Below are 23,156 nucleotides of genomic sequence, written 5' to 3'. Positions count from 1 at the left end.
GGTTTCACCATGTTGGCCAGGCTGCATCCATATATTTTTTAAAGCAGCCCAAGCCCTTCTTCCCTTTTATTTACTGAAATTGTGTAGCACCCTAGTGCACATTTGAGGTGAAGTGGGTCTTCCCTGGCTGGAGCGAGGATGGGGGCACCAAAGGCTCCCCTGCTGACTCCTCTGCTCTTGGGGTCTCCCTCCCCTCCTTCCAAATATGCCACTTTGTAGACAGTTTCCTTATTTTCGCTTACTTTCTTAGAGGATTCTGAGAGACCTGTGGATTTTTAGAAGTGAGAAGGGCCTTGGAATTCAGCACTGCTTCCTTTTCTCTATGATAAAGAGTTCAGAAATGTTCAATCTCCCCCAGGACCCCATTGCAGCCTTCTTTTCAGAGTTCAGTGGTAACAGTCCTGGCTGTGTTCGGGGAACCCTGACGCTTACTGCTTCAGTCCCCTGTGGTAAGGAAGGCTTGCAAACCATTTGAGGAAACTGTCCAGAAAGCCTCCCCTGCCTCCTTCCTTCCTTTCTTCATTCATCAGTGAACTCAGTGAACCTTTATTGACTGTCTGCAGCATGCAACCATGGCTGCTGGCTGCTGTGGACAAGGAAACTTGGCCCTTTGTGTCCCAAGAGCTTACAAGCTCATCGTCCACCTGGGACACACATGCCATACTCCCACCTAAGGAAGGCCTTTGATGATAAGAGCTACTGAGTTGGTGTTGATCATGAGTGTGCCTCAGAAAACATGCTGGGCCAGTTCTTCTCTATCAGTGATCTGGTCATTGTGGGGAGGGCTACCTGCTTAGCAGAAGTGGGGGTAGCTGAACCCATGTGCTCTTGTGAGTTTGCGTGTAGAGCTCTCCCGGCGAGCTCAGGCTGAACTCACCCTGAGATCTCAGTCTCCTGGTCTGGTGGATTGTCCCTTTGGGGTCTTCTCCATGCACACCAGAGCTTTACCACCTTCCAAGGAATTAAGTGGGAACCACATGTTTTCACAGACCCTGATCAGTCTCTGCTGATGCCCAGTAGAGGTCCTTTGTCAAGTTTGTGACATTATTTCATAACTGGGGAGCCACTCAAGATTTTCTAGGTTGATCTGATAGGCTCCTTGCAGCCTCTGGACCCCCTCTTTTTGTAGGGACACTGGGGTTGCTTTGGCTTGTATGACACGGCTCTTCTGCCCTGACCTCAGCTCCCTCCAGTATCATTATCTGTGATGCGTTCCCGTGAGCTGGTGGCTAAGTAATGTCTCTTCCAAGATTCCTCTTCCTCCTCCCTGGAAATGCCTAGGACTGAACCAAATCACTCTGAGATTATACCTGACCCATGGCAGGATCTGCCAGAATTATTTCTTCCACATGCCACCCTTCAAGGTGTATTAATGAATAAGCTTTGGTCTGAAATCAGAATTCTGCACCTCCCAGCAGTTCCTAGTGATTTTAACAGCTTGTACAACCCCAATTTCTTCCCTTTTCATGCCATGTTTCATTCCCTACCCTACCTTTGGCTTTCACTCAAACTCTGTCACCATTCTTTCTGCCGATTGAGGAAGCCCAGAACAAACCCAGATTCCTTAACAATGGTTCGGTAACAGAGACCATGCCAAGGATCGGGAATGCCGGGTGAAAATGAAGGAGACATAATCCTGGCCTTCAGAGTTGCAGGGGGACACTCATAGACCCCGCTTATCTCCCCAGATATGATCAGTGCTGTCATGCACACATTCCAGGCTGATTAGCTAATGACTGTGGACGGGACTCCTGCACTGCCAAAAATGAGTCACACAGTTCCAGGTATGGACAACAGTGAGCATGCTTTGTTGCCATGGGAACACGAACATGTATTCATCTCAATGCAGAAAGAATTCACTTCCACTCCTCCAGGGTAAGGATGTTTCCTACACCATTCCTCAGGCACCAAGGCTGCTCCTCACCCCCACCCTCTGCGCCCCCATTCATGGTCGCGCCTGCCTGGGTGGGTGCCCTGGCTCAGTGTACACAGTTGACCCCCCTCAATATGTTGTAGGTGCAGCCAACATCCAGTCATGCCTCTGACACCTCATTGAAGTCTCAGTGACTGATTGTTTCTTGAGGCGAGGCAGGAGGATGAAGTGACAAGAGCTAGGCTTTTTCAAGTTAGACAGATTTGGCTCCAATTCTGGCTCTGTCACTCAGGAGCTCTGCCACCTTGGGAAAACATTTTTCTTGCTCAGCGTCAGTGTCTTCATAGGTAAATTGGGATAATCCCTATGTTACTAGGCTGTTGGAAGGACTAAATTAAAATGTGTCAAAGTGCTTGTCACATCACTCAGTAAGGGATGGTTCCTCTTTCTTTCTTTCTTTCTTTCTTTTTTTTTTTTTTTTTTGAGACGGAATCTCGCTCTGTCGCCCAGGCTGGAGTGCAGTGGCACGATCTTGGCTCACTGTAAGCTCTGCCTCCCGGGTTCATGCCATCCTTCTGCCTCAGCCTCCTGAGTAGCTGGGACTACAAGCGCCCGCCACCATGCCTGGCTAATTTTTATTTTTTTTGGTATTTTTAGTAGAGACGGGGTTTCACCGTGTTAGCCAGGATGGTCTCAGTCTCCTGACCTCGTGATCCGCCCGCCTCGGCCTCCCAAAGTGCTGGGATTACAGGCGTGAGCCACTGCGCCCGGCTGGTATGGTTCCTCTTTCATTCTGTCTCCCAGCAGGCCTAGGGGATGGAGGTGGGGAAATCGAGATCCTGAGAAGTTGGCTTCGTGGCTGACACTCCCAAGGACAGGTGTCCACACTCCAGAACTCTGGGCTGTGGGCTTGGTCTCCCTTGGGCTGGTTGGGTGATGTGTCACTCAGGGTTCTTTGATTATAAATATTAGAAACTGATTCTGGCTGATGTAAGCCAAGTGGAATTTATTGCAAAGACACTGGAAGGTTATAGACTGGGCAGAGACCGGGGAAACCTCCTGAAAACAGATAGAAACCAAGGTGCTCAGCAGTGTGAGGCCAGGAAGTAGGAATAATAAGAACAGTCTTATAGCAAAAACAGCATGGTCAGGCCTGTGGGTCAGGATGGATGACTTCCATGCATCCCTTTCTTGCTCCTCTTACCCATAATTTAAAGTATCAGCACGAAGTGTCCTGAGGGGGCCATCGGTCACACACCTGTACCCTGTGAAGGAGCCACCGGGGACCGCTTGGCGTTTGTTGTGGAGAGCTGGCACCTGGATTAATAGCCCTACAGAGAAAGTGCCCAGCAGGGGAGAGAGAATCCCCTTAAAAAAGAGCGGGCTGCTATTAAGATATAGGGAAAGGGGCCGGGCACGGGGGCTCACGCCTGTAATCCCAGCATTTTGGGAGGCCGAGGCACGTGGATCACCTGAGGTCAGGAGTTCAAGACCAGCCTGGCCAACATGGTGAAACCCCATCTCTACTAAAAATACAAATATTAGCCAGGTGTGGTGGCAGGTGCCTGTAATCTCAGCTACTTGGGAGGCTGAGGCAGGAGAATCACTTGAACCTGGGAAGCAGAGGTTGCAGTGAGCTGAGATTGCACCATCGCACTCCAGCCTGGGGGACAAGAGCGAGACTTTGTCTCAAAAAAAAAGATAAAGGGAAGGGATACTGGGCAGCTGAAATAACAGGTATCTGCTGTAGTGATCTTGGACAAATCTCACTTGGGGCCTCTTTTCTGAAAAAGAGACGCCAGGACCAGCTGATCTCAACGGACCCTTTGACTTCTAATAGGACCACTATGATTATTAAATAGACAACTCTACCACTGGGAAGAAATGAATTAACATTGTAAACCACCTTAGTTTTTTATTCTCCCCCTAAAAATTCCTGCCCCCACCAATATAGGCCATTGATAACCCATATTTTTAAAGTCTGTTTATATTTATTTTTATTTTTTTGAGATGGAGTCTCGCTCTATTGCCCAGGCTGGAGTGCAGTGGCATGATCTTGCCTCACTGCAAATTCCACCACCCAGGTTTAAGCAATCCTCATGCCGCAGCCTCCCTGTGAGAGCAGCAGGAGGCAGCCAATGCCTAGGTAGGCAGGGGCAGGTCCCTGTGAAACCTCACCTCCAGGCCGAAGACAGCTTAAATCCTGAAAGCCAAGCTACCATTTAAATCCTTGGACCAGACTGAGAACTTGTCTTCCTGTTTGGTGTGCTTTCCTCTGATTGATCCCTACCCTTCACCTATTTTATGTATACCTACCCTTTCCTAATTGGTTTTCTGTACTGCCAGGCCCACTTCTGCGTGGTGTCTTTGCTTTAACCTTTTTTGCATACTCACAAACCAATCAGCATGCACTCCCCATTCTGAGTCCATAAAAGGCCCTGGACCCAGCCACATGGGGGACTTTCCTGCCTTCAGGTAGGGGGACCACCCCTGTGTCCCCTCTGTATTTAAAGCTGTTTCATCATTCAATAAAATTCTTCTCTGTCCTCCTCACACTTCAATGTTCAGTGCATCCTCATTCTTCTTGGATGTGGGACAAGAACTTGGGAATCAGTGCACAAGCCAGACTTGGCCTGGGAAGGCCAACTGGGCAGGGCACCTCCTGCGGCAGATAGCATGCCCTGGGCAAGGCCTCTGGCATCGCCAGCCAGAAGTCCCTGACTGGCAAAGGGACCGAGAAAAATCCTGCATCACCGAGTCACTGGGATTACAGGCGTGCACCACCACACCCAACTAATTTTTGTATTTTTAGTAGAGACAGGGTTTTACCATGTTGGCCACGCTGGTCTTGATCTCCTGACCTCAAGTGATCCACCCATCTCAGCCTCCCAAGTGCTGGGATTACAGGCATGAGCCATCACACCTGGCCTAAAGTCTGTTTAATTTTTAATAAAATATTTAAGTCTACAGAAAATTACAGAGATGTTAACAAATGTATCTGCCATTCGTATTTTTAAAATCAACTTTACTGAGCTATAATTTCTCATGAAATTTATTACATGCGTACAGGCCAATGAGTTGACAAATGTATACACCCTTGCAACCACTACTTGAATTAGTCAGTGTGTAAGACATCTTCCCAGAAAGCTCTCCTTTGCCCCTTTGCAGTCAGTTTCTCTCCTCTGTACCCACTCATCTCTCCAGGTCACTTCTGAATCTGATTTCTATCCTCTAGGTTAGTTTTGTTTGTTCTAGAGTTTCACAGAAATGTGTCATGCAGTATGTACTCTTGAATGTGGCTTCTTTTGCACAGGATAATGTCTGACATTCATCCTCATTGTTGTACCAATGGTTCACCCCTTTTTATTGCTAATGAGAATTCCATTAGTTGAATTTACTGCAATTTGCTTATCCTTTTGTCAATTGATGGACATTTAGGTTGCTTCCATGATTTAGCTATTATGAATAAATCTGCTGTGAACATTTGTGTATAGGTTTTTCGGACACATTTTCACTTTTCTGGCATAAGTACGTAGGAGTGAAATTGCTGGATCATATGGTAAGCATGCATTTAACTTTATAAGAAATGGCAAAACTATTTTCCGAAGTCACTGCTTCAATTTCCTCATCACAGCAGCGTATGAGCTTCTGTTGTTCTACCTCCTTGCCAGCATTAACAAAAATTCTTTTAGCCATTCTAGGGAGTATGATGTAGTTTCCCATGGTGCTTTTATCTTGTATTTTCCTGAAGGTTGATGATGCTGAACATTTTTCATGTGCTTATTACCATCTCTGGATTTGACAAGTATTAACATTGGCCACATGTCAGTCAGAAATAACACATTATTTGACATTAAAAATCCTGTGTGTTCTTCCAATTCCTTTCCCTTCTTTCCTTCTCTTCCTGGAGGCAACCACTGTTCTGGGGTTGGTATGTGTTTCCCATGAGCATGTTTAAAATCTTTATTAACGTGTGTATATCCAAAATACTGTTTAGCAATGTCTTGTTTTGAAACTTACATGAGATGTGCCATACGATATTTATACCTTGGTAATTTACTTTTTTCACACAATGTGTTTTTGAGTTTTTTTCGTGTTGGTGCATGTAGAGCTAGTTCATCTTAACTGCTGCGTACTGTTCTAGCATGTGCATGGGCCACCTTTATCTCCATTGGTGGACACTTTAGGTCATTCTAAGCAATGGTGTAATGCTTATCCTTATGCCTGTCCCCTCGTGTACCGGCCTGGGTATTTCTTGGGTCCATATACCTAGAAGGAAAATATCTGGGTCTGAGAATGTACATCTGGACTTTCCTAAATAGTGTCAAATTGTTTTTCTGAGAGGTTTTGCAAATGCAGACTGCCACCCACAGAGTATCAGAATTTCCATTTGCCTTGCCAACACATCAGACTTCTTATTTTTGCCATCCGAGGGTGTGAAATACCACACCTTGGATTTAACTTGCATTTGCATTTCCTTCATTGCTAGTCAGGTCGTGTCTGTTTTCAAATGTTTATTTACCATTTGAATTTCCTCTCTTGTGGGTTTCCTGTGCATTCTCTGCTCATTTTTCTATTTCGCAGTCTTTCAGTCATTGCTTTACCGCTTCATTTTCTAATGATGTATTTTGTCATGCAAAACTTTTTTGTTGCAATCTAGTCAAATTTATTAATCGATTACTTTAGGGATTTTGCTTTTTATGCCTCATTTAAGAACTCTTGGCTGGGCACAGTGGCTCACACCTGTAATCCCAGCACTTTGGGAGGCCGAGGCGGGTGGATCACAAGGTCAGGAGTTCGAGACCAGCCTGACCAACATGGTGAAACCCCGTCTCTACAAAAAAATACAAAAATTAGCTGGGTGTGGTGGCACATGCCTGTAATCCCAGCTACTCAGGAGGCTGAGGCAGGAGAATCGCTTGAACCTGGGAGGGGAAGGTTTCAGTGAGCTGAGATCGCGCCATCGCACTCCAGCCTAGGCAACAAGAGCGAGACTCCGTCTCAAGAAAAAAAAAACTCTTATGGTGAGGTCATATATGGTCTTAACTTTTCTGAAAGTTTTAAAGATTTTTGTTTGATGTTGAGATCTTTGATCCATTTGTAATTTCCTTTTATTGTTTGTTATAAGGCAAGAGCCCAATTGTACTCTTTTTCTGAGGAGCCTGTCATCTTGTTATTACTTATTTTAAAAAATCCCTCTATTCTCACCTCGCTGATTTGATGACCACCTTTGCTGTATGTTTTTATAAATGTGTGTTCTGTTGCTGGGGTCTTTCTTCTGGTTTCATTGGACTATTTGTCTATCTGTTCACTATTTTAATTGTAACTTTGCAAGAAGTTTTACTATCTGATGGAATAAGTCCTCATTCTTCTTCAAAATTGTCTTGGATGTTCTTGGCCCTTGACTATTTCCTGTGAATTCTAGGATTACCTCCTTGAGTTCTATGAACAACTATTGCATTAAAATGGCACTACGTTTTGAGATTAATTTGAGAAGAAAGATCTCCTTGGTAATATTGGGCTTCCTATCTAGAAACAAGTTGTATATTCCCATTGATCTAGATCTTCTTTATTGTATCTCAGTGTTACTGGAAAGGGGTCCTGAACCAGACCCCAAGACAGCGTTCTTGGATCTTATGCAAGAAAGAATTTGGGGAGAGTTCATGGAGTAAAGCTAAAGCAAGTTTATTAAGAAAGTAAAGGAATGAAAGAATGGCTACTTCATAGGTAGAGCAGCTCTGAGGGCTGCTGGTTGCCTATTTTTATGGTTATTTCTTGATTATATGCCAAATAAGGGGTGGATTATTCATGAATTTTCCAGGAAAGGTGGCAGGGGCAGGGGGCAGTTCCTGGAACTGAGGGCTCCTCCCCTTTATAGACCATATAGGGTAACTTCCTGGCATCTGTCAACTGTCATGGTGCTGGTGGGAATGTCTCTTAGCATGCTAATACATTATAATTAGCGTATAATGAGCAGCGAGGATGACCAGAGGTCAGTTTTGTTGCCATCTTGGTTTTGGTGGGTTTTGGCCGGCTTCTTTGGCACAGCCTGTTCTACCAACAAGGTCTTTATGACCTGTATCTTGTGGCCACCTCCTATCTCATCCTGTGACTTAGAATGCCAAATCTACTAGGAGTGCAGCCCAGTAGGTCTCAGACTTATCTTTTACCCAGCCTCTATACAAGATGGAGTCACTCTGGTTCAAACACCTCCAAAGTCAGTACATTACATTGTCTCCATATAAGTCTTTTACTCTTTAGTTATATTTACTCATAGCTCACTTATAGTTTTGTTGCCATTGTGCGTGGTGTATTTTTTTTCTTTAAATTTGATGTTGTCAATGAAAAGAGTGAAACTCTGTCGAATATTTGAAGAGTTTTATTCTGAGCTAAATATGAGTGACCATGACCGTGTCACAGTCCTCAGGAGGTCCTGAGAACATGTGGCCAAGGTGGTCAGGGCGCCGCTTAGTTTTTATACATTTTAGGGAGATATGATCAGTCAAATACATTTAAGATATACATTGGTTTGGTCCAGAAAGGTGGGACAGCTTGAAGCTGGGGTTTCCAGGTTATAGGTAGATCTAAAATTTTTCTAATTGGCAGTTGATTGAAAGACTTATCAATAGAAAGGAATGTTGCAATAAGAGACCAAAGTTTCATCATTTAGATGAAGCCTCCAGGTAGCAGGCTTCAGAGAGAATAGGTTGTAAGTATTTCTTATCAGACATAAGGTCTGTGTTGAAGTTAATGCTGGAGGGTTGTAATGAAGCATGTCTGATCCCCATTTCCCTTCATGATCTGAACCAGTCTTTCAGGTTAAACTTTAGAGTATCCTGGCCAAGGAGGATGTCCATTCAGATAGTTGGAAGGACTTAGAATTTTATTTTCGGTTTACAGTGTTTATGTTTATTTTTATCAAAGTAATAGAGTTTTAAAAGAGCATTCTCCTACCATACTCCACCCCAAATGCTTCTCAGAGTCCACCACTTGTAACAATGGGGCTTTATCTCCATTTGGGGTTTTTGTTATTTTAGAGAGAAGGGTTTGCTGTGTCACCCAGCCAGGAGTCCAGTGGTGTGATCATAGCTCACTGCATCCTCTGCTTTGGTCTGTCGCTCTTCAAGTCTGAACAGTTGTCATCTTGATCTTTCTTCACCATCATCTGATTACTTTCCTTTCTTTCTCTTCTTTCTCTGCTCAAGCGATCTTCCCACCTCAGCTTCCCAAGTAGCTGGGACTACAGGAATGCACCATCACACCTGGCTAATTAAAAAAATTTTTTTTTGTAGAGATAGAGGTTTTGCTATGTGGCCCAGGCTGGTCTTGAACTCCTGGCCTCAAGCAGTCCTCCCGCCTTGGCCTCCCGAAGCACTGGGATTATAGGCATGAGCTGCTGCACCTGGCCCTTTTTCTAAATGATATGTTTATACTGTTGTATATCCCCCTACCTACCAATTTTACACACTGTCTATTGAACTTCTTATTGCAGAAGATTAGACCTGGCTTTTCCACCAACACTTTACTTTTTCCTTTCCTCCATATATAACCTCTTCCCTCACCTCCCACAATGGTGGTCCTATGGTGATATCAGGGTCTGGTGTTTATATTATTATGCCAGTGTAAATTACAACTGAGCTACTGATTGCCTTCTACTTCTTTGGTGGAACAACAACAAGAAAGCAAATAAATAAAAACAAAAGCAATTGGTTTTATTTACTTGGTTTTCTCTGTCCCTTGCACCAATTCTTCTCTCTTCACTAGCCCTTTAAAAACTTCCACAGGCTAGGTGCGGTGACTCATGCCTGTAATCCCACCACTTTGGGAGGCTGAGGCAGGTTGATCTCTTGAGCCCAGGAGTTTGAGAGCAGCCTGAGCAACATGGCAAAACCCCATCTGTACTAAAAATACAAAAATTAGCCAGGCATGGTGGTGCACGTCTGCAGTTTCAGCTACTGGGGAGCCTGAGGTGGGAGGATTGCTCAAGCCTGGGAGATCGAGACTGCAGTGAGCTGTGATTGCACCACTGTACTCCAGCCTAGGTGACAGAGTGAGATCCTGTCTCCAAAACAAAACAAAACAAAACAAAACAAAACACACACACACACACACACACACACAACAGAAAAAACAACAAACTTCCGCATGTACTGTCACCTATCACCACATAAAATAATCTATCAGGTCTGTTTTTTCATCTCAATAGAAGCATCTATTTGCTCTGTTCTGGTCTGTTGCTCTTCAAGTCTGATAAATAGTTGTCATCTTTATCTTCCTTCACCATCATCCTATTTCTTTCTTTCTTGTCTGCTTTTTGGTCATTTCTTAGATCTCATGTCTTCCCCTTTTCTTGGTTTTCTCCCTTGTTTTATTGGATCACACCCTGCAGTAGCTTCCTGAAAAAGGAAATTGGTCTGATCTTAATCTGCAGTATGTAAACAAGTTGCCTCATTGCCCTGTTTTCATTATGGCTTGTTACCTGTCCTCTAGGTGTCTCTGAGTCCAGAAGCTCAGGACTAGTTTGCCTTGAGAGTCAACCCGTTGTTTTCTGCCATTGGGATAGGGCAGTCACTTAGTTGCTGAGGGTGTGGAGGAATCTGTAAGCTCTCCTCCAGCCTCCTTTTTAAGTCTTTACCTCATAGATACTTTGTGCTGTGAGCCTTCCTGGGCCTTTCTGAGCTTCTGCATTATAAACTGCTGATTTCTTGTCATACAAGAAGACATACAGGTTTCTGTTCACTCATCTATGCTAAGTCCTTGCCATTTATCCATTTGTTTTCCATTGTCCAAAATTATGTTGACATGTCTCATTTATTGTCAACTCTTACTTTTTTCTTCTTTGTGGCTTTGTTAATGGGGTTTTAGGAGGGCATGGATATAAACAGCCCGTTTTCAATCAGCCATTTTAATCATAAGTATTTATTACATTTTCTGATTATTGTCGTTTACTGTAGTGTAAGGGAACCAGAGATCACCTCCAACCTCCTTGTTAGCTCTTAACGGGCTCTTTGGCTGGATCTGGAAACCAAATTGACATCAGGCAGATTAACATGAGAAAAGTATATAAATTTTATTAGTTTTATGTGTACATGGGATCTTCACAAGACAGTGAAGCCCAAAGAAGTGGCCAAAGCAACATATCTTTATACTTTTTAGATAGAGTGATAAACTTGATCAGAAATAACAAAACAAAATATGGCAAAGGGCAGTCAATTTTCTGGCGGAGTCACTAGAAGTTGTATTAGAGGTGGGGTAAAACAGGTGAAATGTAAGAGTTATTCTGTTCATGATGTTTAGTCAAGTCCATTGCAGGCTTGATTCCGGCTCTGGTGATATGCGCTGTTTTCTCGCCCTGGTACTGGGAGGGCAGCCCTCGTACAGGATTCTCTATTGCTTGGTGCATGCAGGAAGAGACAGTTCAGCTCGTCCGTTCTGAAACTACAGTTTCTCCAATGTTTTCAACTTGAAATCATCAGTATAACAATCTGGCATGTTTTGTGATGGCATATCCTTTACCCCTTCAGTAGTTAGTTACTGTAGAATATTGGTAATTTTTATCACTAGATCTTGAACTGTCTTATTAGTTCTGATAGTTTGTAGAGTTTCTTGATTGGAGGGGTAGACAATTATAATGTATGAATATGTCAGCCGTTTCTTCCTTTGCAATCTCTTTTCTTTTTTTTTCTTTTCCTTTCTCCTTTCTTTTCCTTTCCTTTCCTTTCCCTCCCCCGACTCCCCCTCCTTCCCTTTCCGCCTCCCTCTTTTTCTTTTTTCTTCCTTTCCCCTCCCCCTTCCCCTCCCCTTTTCTGTCCCCCTTGCATTTCTGTCACCTCCCCCTCCCCTCCCTTCCCCTCCCCTCCCTTCTCCTCCCGTCCCTTCTCCTCCTCTCCCCCTCTCCCCGTCTCCCCTCCCCTTCCCCGTCCCCCTGTCCCTCTCCCTCTCCCTCTCCCCTCCCCCTCCCCCTCCCACTTCTCCCTCTCCCTTTCCACTTCCCTTTCCCTTTCCCTTTCCCCTTCCCTTTCCCATTCCCCCCCTTCGTTTTCCCTTTCCCTTTCCCCTCTCCTTCCCCTCCACTTTCCCTTCCCTCTTCCCTTCCCAAGGCTGGAGTACAATAGTGCATTCTTGGCTCACCACAACCTCTGCCTCCTGGGTTCAAGTGATTCTCATGCCTTAACCTCCCAAGTAGCTGGGATCACAGGCATGTGCCACCACGCCTGGTTAATTTTTGTATTTTTAGTAGGGGTGGGGTTTCACCATGTTGGTCGAGGGGTTGGTCTCAAACTCCTAGCCTCAAGTGATTTGCCCACCTCAGCCTCTCAAAATGCTGGGATTACAGGAAGGAACCACTGCTCCCAGCCTTTTTTTTTTTTTTTTAAAACTGAGATAAGGTCTCACTCTGTCACCCAGGCCAGAGTGCAGGGGGACAGTCATAACTCACTGAAGCCTCAATCTCCTGGTCCCAAGTGATCCTCCTTCTTCAGCCTCCTGAGTAGCTGGGACCACAGGTGTGTGCCACCACACTCATCTAATTTCTTAATTTTTTGCAGACGTAGGGTCTCGCTATATTGCCCAGGCTGGTATTGAACTCCTCAGCTCAAGTGATCCTCCCACCTCGGCCTTCCAAAGTGCTGGGATTAGAGGCTTTATTTCATTTATTTATTTCTTTTTGTTGCCTCACTGTGTTATAATATATTCAGTGCAGAAAGGAAACCATGATGGTGAATGGCATTGTCTTATTCCTGACTTTAACAGAAAAGCTTCCAGGGTTTTCCATTAAGTATGAAGTTTATTTTAATTTCCTTTTTCTTTTTTTTTTTTGTGAGACAGTGTCTTGCTCTGTCACCCAGGCTGGAGTACAGTGGCACAATCACAGCTTACTGCACCTCTGCCTCCTGGGTTCAAGCGATTCTCCTGCCTCAGCCTCCTGAGTAGCTGGGATTACAGGTGTGTGCCGCCACGCCTGGCTAATTTTTGTATTTTTAGTAGGGGTGGGGTTTCACCATGTTGGTCAGGCTGGTCTCAAACTCCTGACCTCGTGATTTGCCCACCTCAGCCTCCTAAAGTGCTGGGATTACAGGTGTGAACCACCGCTCCCAGCCCTTAATTTTCAATAGTTATAATTTATCAGACTTTAGTCCTGGTGTGTGTGTTTTAATCACAAATGAGTGTCGAGTTTTGTCCGGTGCTTTTTCTGCATCCAGATTATCCTATTTTTTTTTTTTGTAGTTTCTTTTGATATGGTGAGTTTAATAAGTTTTCTGATATTTCAATATCTCTGCATTTCCAGGATTTGCTAATGTTTATTTAGAATTTTTACACCTATTCTCTAAGTGAGGTTAGGAGCTTTTACTTCCTTTCTTCTCCCAATTGTTTTTCTTTGAACTTGATATCAGGGTATTATAAAAAGGAGCTGAATGTTTTCTATTTATGGAAGAGATTGGATTAAGTGGTTTTTTCTTAACGATTTGAGAAAACTTATCAGTAAAACCACACCGACAGGTACAGTTTTTTAAGGTAGGTTTTAGACTGCCGAATCAATTCGTTTGAAGGTTATAGACCTATTCAGGTTTTCTATTTCCTCTTGAGTCAATTTGGAATTTTTATTTTCCTGGAAAATTGTCAGTGGCAGGAGAGAACAAATAACCAGGGAGTTCCAGAACTTGGGGGAAAATAGCATCTTTGTCTGATTCATTGCTATCCAACACTGAGAAGGTAGGAGGGAGGAGATCGAAGTGAAACCCTTCCAGGGTTTTGTATTATTCAGAAGGAGAAAAGAGCTATTGATTAGCTTTCTGCTTGAAGTCAAGTGTACATGTTAAAAATGTCAGTGTAACCACCTAAGTAGTATAAATAGACTCTATAAATGCAAAGTTTGTGGAGGGAGGGGGAATAAAGAATATGCAATCAATCCAGCAGAAAGCAAGATGGGAGGGAGCAAGAAAAGCAGAGAAAAGCCTGGCAAGGAGAAAGCCTGTCCTTACGATGACCTTTGGGCAGCACCCCCCTCCCAGGAACTTTCTGGACGCCCACTCCTTTCTCAGCACCTGCTTTCTCCTGTTATCGTTGCATACGTCCATCACACTGCTGCGTGGCTGCCTGCCATCTTTCTCTCTTCCAGAAAGTAAGCTCTGCCTGGGACAGGGCTGGGGTCATTCATCTGCATATTCTCAGCGCCTGACATATAGTAGGTGCCCAATAAATGTTTGAGTAAGCATGAAGCACAGATAAATAAGTAAACAGGTGGATAAATACATCCTGAGATGTTACTCTGCCAGGCTCAATGGCTATGGGAAAACATTTTCATCTGAGATTGCCTTGGTTGATAAGTGAGTTAGAGAACTGAGGAAGTAGCTGCAGCCTTGAATTCAGTTGAGAAAAAAGTCAGGGTGAGATGCCTCGACTGAAACTGTCTCGAAATTCCTCAAGCGCCCGTGTAGCTGTCACGCACTTGATCAGTACCTAGTAGTACCTAGAAATTCCCTTGTGCACTGGTAAAATAGCTCATAAGCTTTAAATTAGTGCTGCTCAAACGTTAATGTGCGCACGATTCACCTGAAGCACTTGTTATACAGTCTGATGTAGGAGGTCTTGAGGGGAGCGGGGCGCAGATGCTGCATTTCTAACAAGCTCAGTGTTGCTGGTCTATGGACCACGTCTTATATAACAGCAAGGCTTTCAGTAGCAAGGTGTAGATTGTCACCTGCTCTCCCCAGGTGCTTGAGGACAGCAAAATGATCCTGTGCTTGGAGAATAAGTCCTGTGTTCTGACTTCCAGGATTGTTACCAGTGAGTGTGAAGGATCCAAGCCTGCACTGGCTGGGGAGGAGTGCCCCTTGACTTTAAACTGTGCATCCCGAAACAGGCCTGTCTCCAGCTGTGTCAGAGCCCCTGGGGTGGAATTAGTTCACTGAGGTACCTGCATAGTGATTACATCTGCCCTCATTTTCTTGTTTCTCCGGCTGAGCCACACGGCCTGTTGGGACACGTCGAGTCCTGGGAAGCCCTCATCTGTGTGATTCACATGTCACTTGTCACTGTTCTCTGGCTGTGCCACGCTTTGTGTATGCAATCAAAATCCCATTTCCTTGCCTCATTCCAGCGAGCCTTTGCCTTGCTGTCACTCTGGTCCTGGGCCGGGGAGGGCCACCTTTTCTATTTCCATCGTGCCACCTGCCCTGGGTTAGACATAGACCACTTTGCTCCATTTACTTAGAATGATGGAATGGACCTGGGAGTGATGACACCACTTTCTTGTTTTTTTGTTTTTGTTTTCTTTTTTTTTTAGTTCCCCATTTTTAGAGAAATGGCACAAAACCAGTGGGAAATACCCCAAATTGCAGATAAGCCACTAATGCACCAATCCTGGGGCCAGACAGACTATGGGCGCCAGCACTTCCCTGAGCCTCTCTCCCCATCACGTCTCGGAAACGGTGCTGGCAAGCCGTCTGGTCTGTTCTTTACCTTACATTTATATTGACTCCTGTGGATCGGGGTAGGGTTGTGGACAGATAGATGCTTCTATCAGAGAGGGATGGAACCAGAGGTTTCTAAGGCGATGGTGTGGCTCTAGGGTTTTACAGAAAGCATATTTGAAGGCAGAAGCATCTGTTAGACAGCAGGAGAACCTGGAACTTGAATGCTCATGGGACTCCTGCCTTGGCTCTTCTCTACACAGAGTCTTGGCCTTCAGGAGCTTTGTCCTTCTCAGGGTGGACAGAGGTAATGCAGCCATGGGCGAAGGCTGGGGGAGGGGAACAGGGATGCCAAGCCAGCTCCTCATCCCCTCCAGTGAAGACATTGTGGAGTGGACTAAGTTAAAGCTGGGGCTGCCAGCAGGGGCCTGGGTGCTGGGTTTGTCTTCTGGGGCCCCAGTCTTTCCTTATTCCTGAATCTTGCCTGAACCAGGTATCGGGGCAGATAGTGTCTGGGCCCGGCAGGTAATAGCGCTGAGTGAGGCAGGTAGAGGTGCTTCCTCAGGGCCAATGACTTCAGATCAGCCCCCTACCTCCAGCCCTAGGGATCCTGGTTTAATGGGACAGGGGCTTCCTAGGGCATTTCTAAGCTCTCAGGTGATTCTCATGGGCAGCCAGGGTTGCAGACTACTGTGATAGAGAATGGTGGAGAACGTGGCAGCATTTCTCCTCATCCTGTCGATAGCACCTGCAGTATGGTCCACCTGACTTTTCAAGAGACAACTGAATCTTTTCTTTTTTTTCTTTTCTTTTTTTTTTTTTTCTTGAGATGGAGTCTCACTCTGTTGCCCAGGCTGGAGTTCAGTGGTGCGATCTTGGCTCACTGCAGCCTCCGCCTCCTGGGTTCCAGCGATTCTCCTGCTTTAGCCTCCCAGGTAGCTGGGATTCCAGGCACGTGCCACCATGCCCAGCTAATTTTTGTTTATTATTATTATTATTATTATTTGAAGGGGTTTCACCATATTGGCAAGGCTGGTCTTGAACTCCTGACCTCAGGTGATCTGCCTGCCTTGGCCTCCCAAAGTGCTGGGATTACAGGCATGAGCCACTGCGCCTGGCCTTTATTTGTTTTTTCACAAGACCTGTCTTGGTTTTTGTATGCTTGAAGCTAAGTCAAAACTTTTTTTTAAAAAGGTCTGCAGGTCAAGCAAAGCACATCCAGTGGTCCTGTAGGCAGCCTCTGGTCTGCAGGGTGAGCCCTCGGCTGTCTGCGCTGCCTCCGATTGCACCCACCTCCTCATGTCTGGCTGTTCTCTGTGACATGGGGGTGACTATACTTGTACTTTGCCTTCACCCATTTTCTGTTCTTGTGGCCCCAGTCCTACAGCCAGCTCTGGGAAAATAATGTATCCTGGGCACAGACCCAGGGTGATTCGCATCTTCCCACAACAACCCTGAGTAGTATGTGATATTTTTGGTTCCATTTCTCAGATGTGCAAAGCCACTTGCCCAAGGGGATGGTGGAGTCGGGACTCAAACACAGCTCTGTTTGCCTCATGAGCCTGAGCTCTCAAGTCGCCTCACTGGCTCTCTCTGCTTGGAGTTTTTTGGGGTCCTGCTGGCTGGGAACACCCCACCAACTGGCTTCTGTGTGGGACCCTCTGACCCAGTCAGGTGGCTCCTTTGAGTTCATGATTGGGCTGAGCAGGTGTTCCAGATGCCAGGCCAGAGGATTGTGTAGGAGTCAGACAGGGATGGGGATGTGGGAGTCCCTGGTTTCTAGAGAAATATTTAGGTTGGTGCAAAAGTAATTGCTATTTTGTCCATTTTTAATGGCAAAAAACGCAATTACTTTTGCACCAACCTAATAGCACATTTCTGACTTCTACTCTCTGTATGCTCTTCCTTCGCCACCACCCCAACCTCTGTCCCATAGGTTGTGATGTCCCCATTCTGCCTCTGCCTCCCTCTCCCTAGACTCTAGATTTAGAATAGGGCAGGAGGGACGGCATCTTTGCTGGCATTTTCTCTCTGCAAGACCAGGCTAGTAGCCTGGTAAGCTGAGCAGAACCCATGAAAACAGAAAGAGAATGAAGGGAGGCCGGGCACAGTGGCTCACGCCTGTGATCCCAGCACTTTGGGAGGCTGAGGCAGGCAGATCACCAGAGGTCAGGAGTTCGAGACCAGCCTGGCGAACATGGTGAAACCCCGTCTCTACTAAAAATACAAAAATTAGCGAGGCATGGTGGCGCAGGCCTTTAGTCCCAGCTACACTGGAGGCTGAGGCAGGAGAATCGCTTGAACCTGGGAGGCGCAGGTTGTAGTGAGCTGAGATCGTGCCACTGCACTCCAGCCTGGGTGACAGAGCGAGACTCCATCTCCAAAAATTAAAAATTAAAAAAAAAAAAAAAAAAAAAAAAAGAAGAGAGAGAACGAAGGGAGAGCTGGGCTGGGAGGCTGGGCAGCTGACCCAGGCTGGTGGCTGGATGATTCCCAGGACTTAGTGGCCACAAAAGTTGGCGAATAAATGAGAATGAATGAGAGAGGAAGGAGATGGAACAAACCTCAAGACTGGGGATAGAGGAGTGGGGTGCATAGAAAGCTAGGAGTCCCTGCTGGGACTAATGAGCTCAACAGGGCAGGTCATCTAGTGCCTATGGTCTAGTATAGCATTTCCCGAGATGCTGTGCCAAGATGGGTTTAGGTGGTCTCTGGACGAGACTTTCAGTACCAGTGAATCACATCAAGAGAAGGGTATTCCTTTTGCAGTTCTCTCCTTGCTTCTGATTACATTGAGGAGAAAGTTTTGGGAGGTGCCGGGTGAGGGCAGGCCTCAGCAGGTAGCAGTATCCAGCAAAGATTGAATAACATTGCTTGGTGTTTGTTGTGGTTATTTTTATGGTTATTATAGATTTCTGGCAAATGTCACTAGTTTTCCATTCACAGACTCACATCAATTTTCTGTTCAGTGCAATTTTTAAAAGAAAAAAGTGAGTCAACTAAAAATATTAGCAAATAAGAGGAAAAAGTGGTATGAGAGTATGCTGAAAATTAGAATGGTGATCAGTGAAAGATAGGCTCCCGGGAGATACTGGGTGTGGGAGGTTCAGGGTCTCCGGCTGTGGGGTCAAATGGACCACAGTTCAAACCCATTAACACTGTGACCTTGGGCAAGTCGCTTTGCGTCTCTAAGGCATAGTTGACTCCATCATAAAACATTAATATTAAATGAGCTCATGCTTGTCATGTGCTTGGCCCAAGGCCTGACCCAACATCATAGTAGTGGTGGTTATTATGTGAAGTGTTTATTGGCATGAAATACTGAACTCAGAGGCTGGTGTTCCTGGACTAGCAAGGATCACAGGCCAACATGGAAGAGGAAGCTTTGTGAGGGAGTGAGCTCTCTGTCCGCACAAGTGTTTGAGAGGCTTGTCACCTGTTGAGGATTTAGTGGCAGGATTCTGCCACTGGATGGGCAGACAAAAGGGGAAATCCCTTCAAGTAACCATTCCACGGACATGGTGCAGAGAGAGTCAACGTAGCAGGCCGGGGAGCCCTCCTTAGAAAGGCCTGCTGGCAACATTGTTCCTTGGCTGGTGTCTGGGAACTTGCATTTAGGAAGGGCTCCCACTATTCCCTGAATAGTAAGGGTGGCTGTTCTCTAAACTGTTCATGTGAGTAATACGGTTTGTGCTGAATACCTGGATTTCTTCAGGGAGTCTGCAATTCATGTTTGTGCTAGGCAGGGGATGCCTACATGACCAGCTCCTTATAAAAACTCTGGGCACTGAGTCTGTAATGAGCTTACCTGCTAGACAGTGTTTTACACATGCTACCAGGACTCACTGCTGGAGGAATTAGGCACATCCTATGTGACTGCTGGGAGAGGACTCCTGAACTTGCGCCTGGTTTTCTCAGGACCTTGTCCCAGGTTCTGTGTCCCTTCACTGATTTTGCTTTGTATTTTTTTGCTGTAATAAGACCCTTAAAAAAAAAATAGAGACAGGATCTCACTCTGTCACCCAGGCTGGATTGCAGTGGTACGATCCTAGCTCACTGCAGCCTCAAACTCCTGGGCTCAAGCAATCCTTCCATCTCAGCCTCCCGAGAAGCTGGAACTGTAGGCGTGTGCCACCATGCCTGGCTAATTTTGTGATTTTTTTTTTTTTTTAAGAGACAGGGTTTTGCTATGTTGTCTAGGCTGGTCTTGAACTCCTGGCCTCAAGTGATCCTCCTGCCTCAGCCTCCCAAAGTGCTGGGATTACAGGTGTGAGCTACTGTGTCTGGCCATAAGTCTTTACCAGAAGTAAAACATATGCTGAGTCCCATGAGTCCTTCTGGGAAACATCAGAGCTGAGGGTGGTTTTGGGAACTCCCAGCATAGCCTGCCTCTGTTTTCAGGTCAGGGAAGGAAACCCAGGGCTTCATCTGGGTCAGTGGGTCATCCTGGTTCAATGGGTCAGGGGCTTTCTAGCAAAGGTTCCGCAGAAGTTCTCCTAGGATCAAACTTAGGGAAGCGCCCTGAAGGAGTTGATGATGCTTCTGGGAAGAGCCGGCCTATCAAGTGCATATGGGGGTGCCTGTCCCTCTTTGGGGTGCTGTGTGATGTCACTGTGCTTCGTACAAAGCAGCTTAAAAGGTTTGGGAGGAAGTATTGGAGTGTGTTTATGTGTGGCTGAAGTCTCAGGTATGGTTTGTGTTAAGCCTCTGAAGGACAGAGCACAATCCCAAAATAGTTTTCATGGGAATGACCAAGGTAGAGACCATTGGTTTGGACCTATAATATCAGAGAGGCCACACCCCGATTCTTTACAAAACGTAACAGTGACCACACCTCAGTGGTTAGTGTCAAGGTTAAGGAATGTTGATATCAACTTTCCTCCGAAGGACCTGATTCAGTTATGTATGAATCTATTTCTCCCGGTCTGAGCCTCTGTTTAGACTTACAGGAGATGGTTGATGGTCTCCGATCAGGCCCACCCTGAACCAGGGCTGGGCAGGGTTAATGGAGAGTGTCTGGGATGTATTTTCAAAGAACTGTCATGGTGTAGGGGGACTAGGACAGGTGTTTGCAGACATTCCTAGCTTGAGGTTGGCCTGATTATTCTGTGTGAATCACCAGGCAGGTATTCAGCATTGGTCCTATTGGTCTTCCTTCTGATTACCCCCTAGCCAGAGGGGGTGGGGGTATAGGGCTGAGGTAAGCTCAGAAATGGGGCACTTGGCCAGGTGTGGTGGCGGGCACTTGTAATCCCAGCACTTTGGGAGGCTGAGGCAAGATCACAAGGTCAGCAGTTCGAGACCAGCCTGGCCAACATGGTGAAACCCCGTCTCTACTAAAACTACAAAAATTAGCCAGGTGTGGTGGCATGCGCCTATAGTCCCAGCTACTTGGGAGGCTGAGGTAGGAGAATCACTTGAACCCAGGAGGCGGAGGTTGCAGCGAGCCGAGATCGCGCCACTACACTCCAGCCTGGGCAACAGAGCGAGACTCCATCTCAAAAAAAAGAAGTGGGACACTTGTCTGCATGAAGAAGTGAAGGGAGTTGGAATAAAATGGAAGGCAGAGGAGCCTCTGCTGTGGTGGGCTGGAAACTCCACTCCCGCCACCCCATCCCTCCCCCATATTTCATCAGAGCCTTTTGTAAAGGATGGCAGAACCATGGAGCTGGGAGAAGGAGCTATCACTTGCCTGCAGTGTCAGCAAAGAGAGGCCAATTTTTAATGCTTTGTGTACATTATTAACTCACTTGATCCTTGTAACAGGTATTATTATTAATACTTACATCATCATTATTATTTTTTGTCTTCACGGGAATTGCTGACTTGAGATTGTCCAGCTAGATCAAGCAACTTGTCCTGGGAAAGCATGGATTTGAACCCAGGCAGTCTGGCTCCCAAGTCTACTCTCTTCACCACTACACTGTCAGGACTTGGTGACCTAGAAATGCTCCCCCTGACTCCAAAATTCAGTGACCCCAGGAGCCAATCCAAGCAGAGAAAGGCTGTCCTGATGTCCTGCAGAATGACAGTCACATCTCAGGCTTTCAAACTACTTATATGTTTTTTCCTAATTAATAGACCTTGAAATAAACAGTTAACTGTTTTTAAAAAAATTGACCTTGTAGGCCAGGCACAGTGGCTCACACCTGCAATCCCAGTGCTTTGGGAGGCTGAGGTGAGGGGATGGCCTGAGGCCAGCTGTTCAAGACCAGCCTGGGCAATATAGCAAGAGTCTGTCTCTGCAAAACAAAAAACAAAACAAAAAAAAGTAGTCTGGCCAGGCTGGGTGTGGTGGCTCACACCTGTAATCCCAGCTCTTTGAAAGGCCGAGGCGGGCGGATCACCTGAGGTCGGGAGTTTGAGACCAGCCTGACCAACATGGAGAAACCCCATCTCTCCTAAAAATACAAAATTAGCTAGGCGTGGTGACGCATGCCTGTAATTCCAGCTACTCAGGAGGCTGAGGCAGGAGAATCGCTTGAACCCGGGAGGCGGAGGTTGTGGTGAGCCGAGATCATGCCATTGCACTCCAGCTTGGGCGACAAATTAGCCTGGCCTTGGCTCCTTGTCACAGTCTCTCTTGTGCTTCTTCAGTCCCTACTTTCCTCTCCCTCCCATTTCCACTACAGATGGTGCCTTCCTACCCTACGCCATAGCAATCTGGTCACTGGGGAAATGGGGTTATGGAGAGGGGTATACTGTAATTCCCTTCATCTTATCTCAAGGTCAAGTTACATTTTGGCCCCAAGCATACAGCCCCCTAACTTGAGCTCCGGATAGACCTCCTTTGGGGCTCCCAATCCTGCTGAACCTCCCTGGCACTCTGTGCTCTTGCATATCTTCCACTCTGAGTCCAGCTCCAACATTCTGGCTATTTCTTCTTCCAGTGTTATGTGACTGGCACAGTTGGCCCCAGAGGTCCCAGCCAGGAGGACCTGGGGAAGCATCAGAGGTATTGACAGCAACATTTCTGATCCATGGTCCAACTTGGCCTGATGAGGGCAGCTGATAGTGGCTCTCCAAGATTGTCTACGTCCTAATCCCCAGAACCTGGGAATGTTATTTTATTTAGAAAAGAGTCTTTGCAGGTACAATGACGTTAAGGATCTTGAATTGAGAAGGTTTTCCTGGGTTATCTGAGTAAGCCCTAAATGTAATCACAAGCATCTTTATAAGAGAGAAGCTGAAGGAGATTTGACTGTAGATAGAAGACAAAGGGTATGATTGGGGAAGTAGGATTTGAGTGATGCAGCCACAAGCCAAGGAATGCCAGCGGCTACCAGGAGCTGAAAGAGTCAAGGACTGAGTTCTCCCCTTGACCCTCTGGGAGGAGTATGGCCCTATCAATACCTTGATTTCAGCTCAGTGATACTAATTTTTGGAAGCTTGGCATCCAGAACTGTGAGAGAATACATTTCTGTTGCTTTAAGACACCAAGTGTTATAGTGGCCAAAGGAAGGTTTTTAGAAATGCAGATATCTTTGGAAGAGAAGCTTACCCACAAGTGCAGGCTCAAGAAAGGAACCAAATCTCTAAATTCTCCCTGCTTTATGTTCTTTAGTTTTGATTGTTGCTATCTGTATACCTTGCCCTTTACCAAGGAACTATTAGCCAGGACTCTTTCTATTAAATGTTACAGAAATCCTATTCAGGCTTAGACCTGTAATCCCAGCTCTTTGGGAGGTCAAGGCAAAAGAATCACTTGAGCCCAGGAGTTTGAGACCAGCCTCAGCAACGTAGTGAGACCCCCATCTGTATAAATAAAAAATAAATTCACTAGGTGTGGTGGCACACACCTGTAGTCCCAGGTACTTGAGAGGCTGAGGATCACTTGAGCCTAGGAGTTTGAGGCTGCAGTGAGCTATGAT

At 45.9% G+C, this 23,156-nt stretch overlaps 1 protein-coding gene across 4 annotated transcripts in view, besides 1 other annotated feature; it reads left to right on the top strand.

The window, feature by feature from the left end:
- Positions 1-23,156, top strand: part of GAS7 (growth arrest specific 7) — a 288,001-nt gene that overhangs the window by 110,559 nt on the left and 154,286 nt on the right. The gene's annotated exons all lie outside the window — the stretch shown is intronic.
- Positions 19,169-19,668: an enhancer, noted in NCBI's record as "H3K4me1 hESC enhancer chr17:9971697-9972196 (GRCh37/hg19 assembly coordinates)". NCBI's record gives its function as "activates a minimal SCP1, AML or CMV promoter by ChIP-STARR-seq in primed H9 embryonic stem cells {active_cell/tissue: H9 hESC(primed)}" and the evidence as "EXISTENCE:reporter gene assay evidence [ECO:0000049][PMID:30033119]".

The sequence above is a fragment of the Homo sapiens genome, chromosome 17 (assembly GCF_000001405.40).
Source record: "Homo sapiens chromosome 17, GRCh38.p14 Primary Assembly".
Classification (NCBI taxonomy): domain Eukaryota; kingdom Metazoa; phylum Chordata; class Mammalia; order Primates; family Hominidae; genus Homo; species Homo sapiens.
This window is presented reverse-complemented; position numbering and strand designations above follow the sequence as displayed.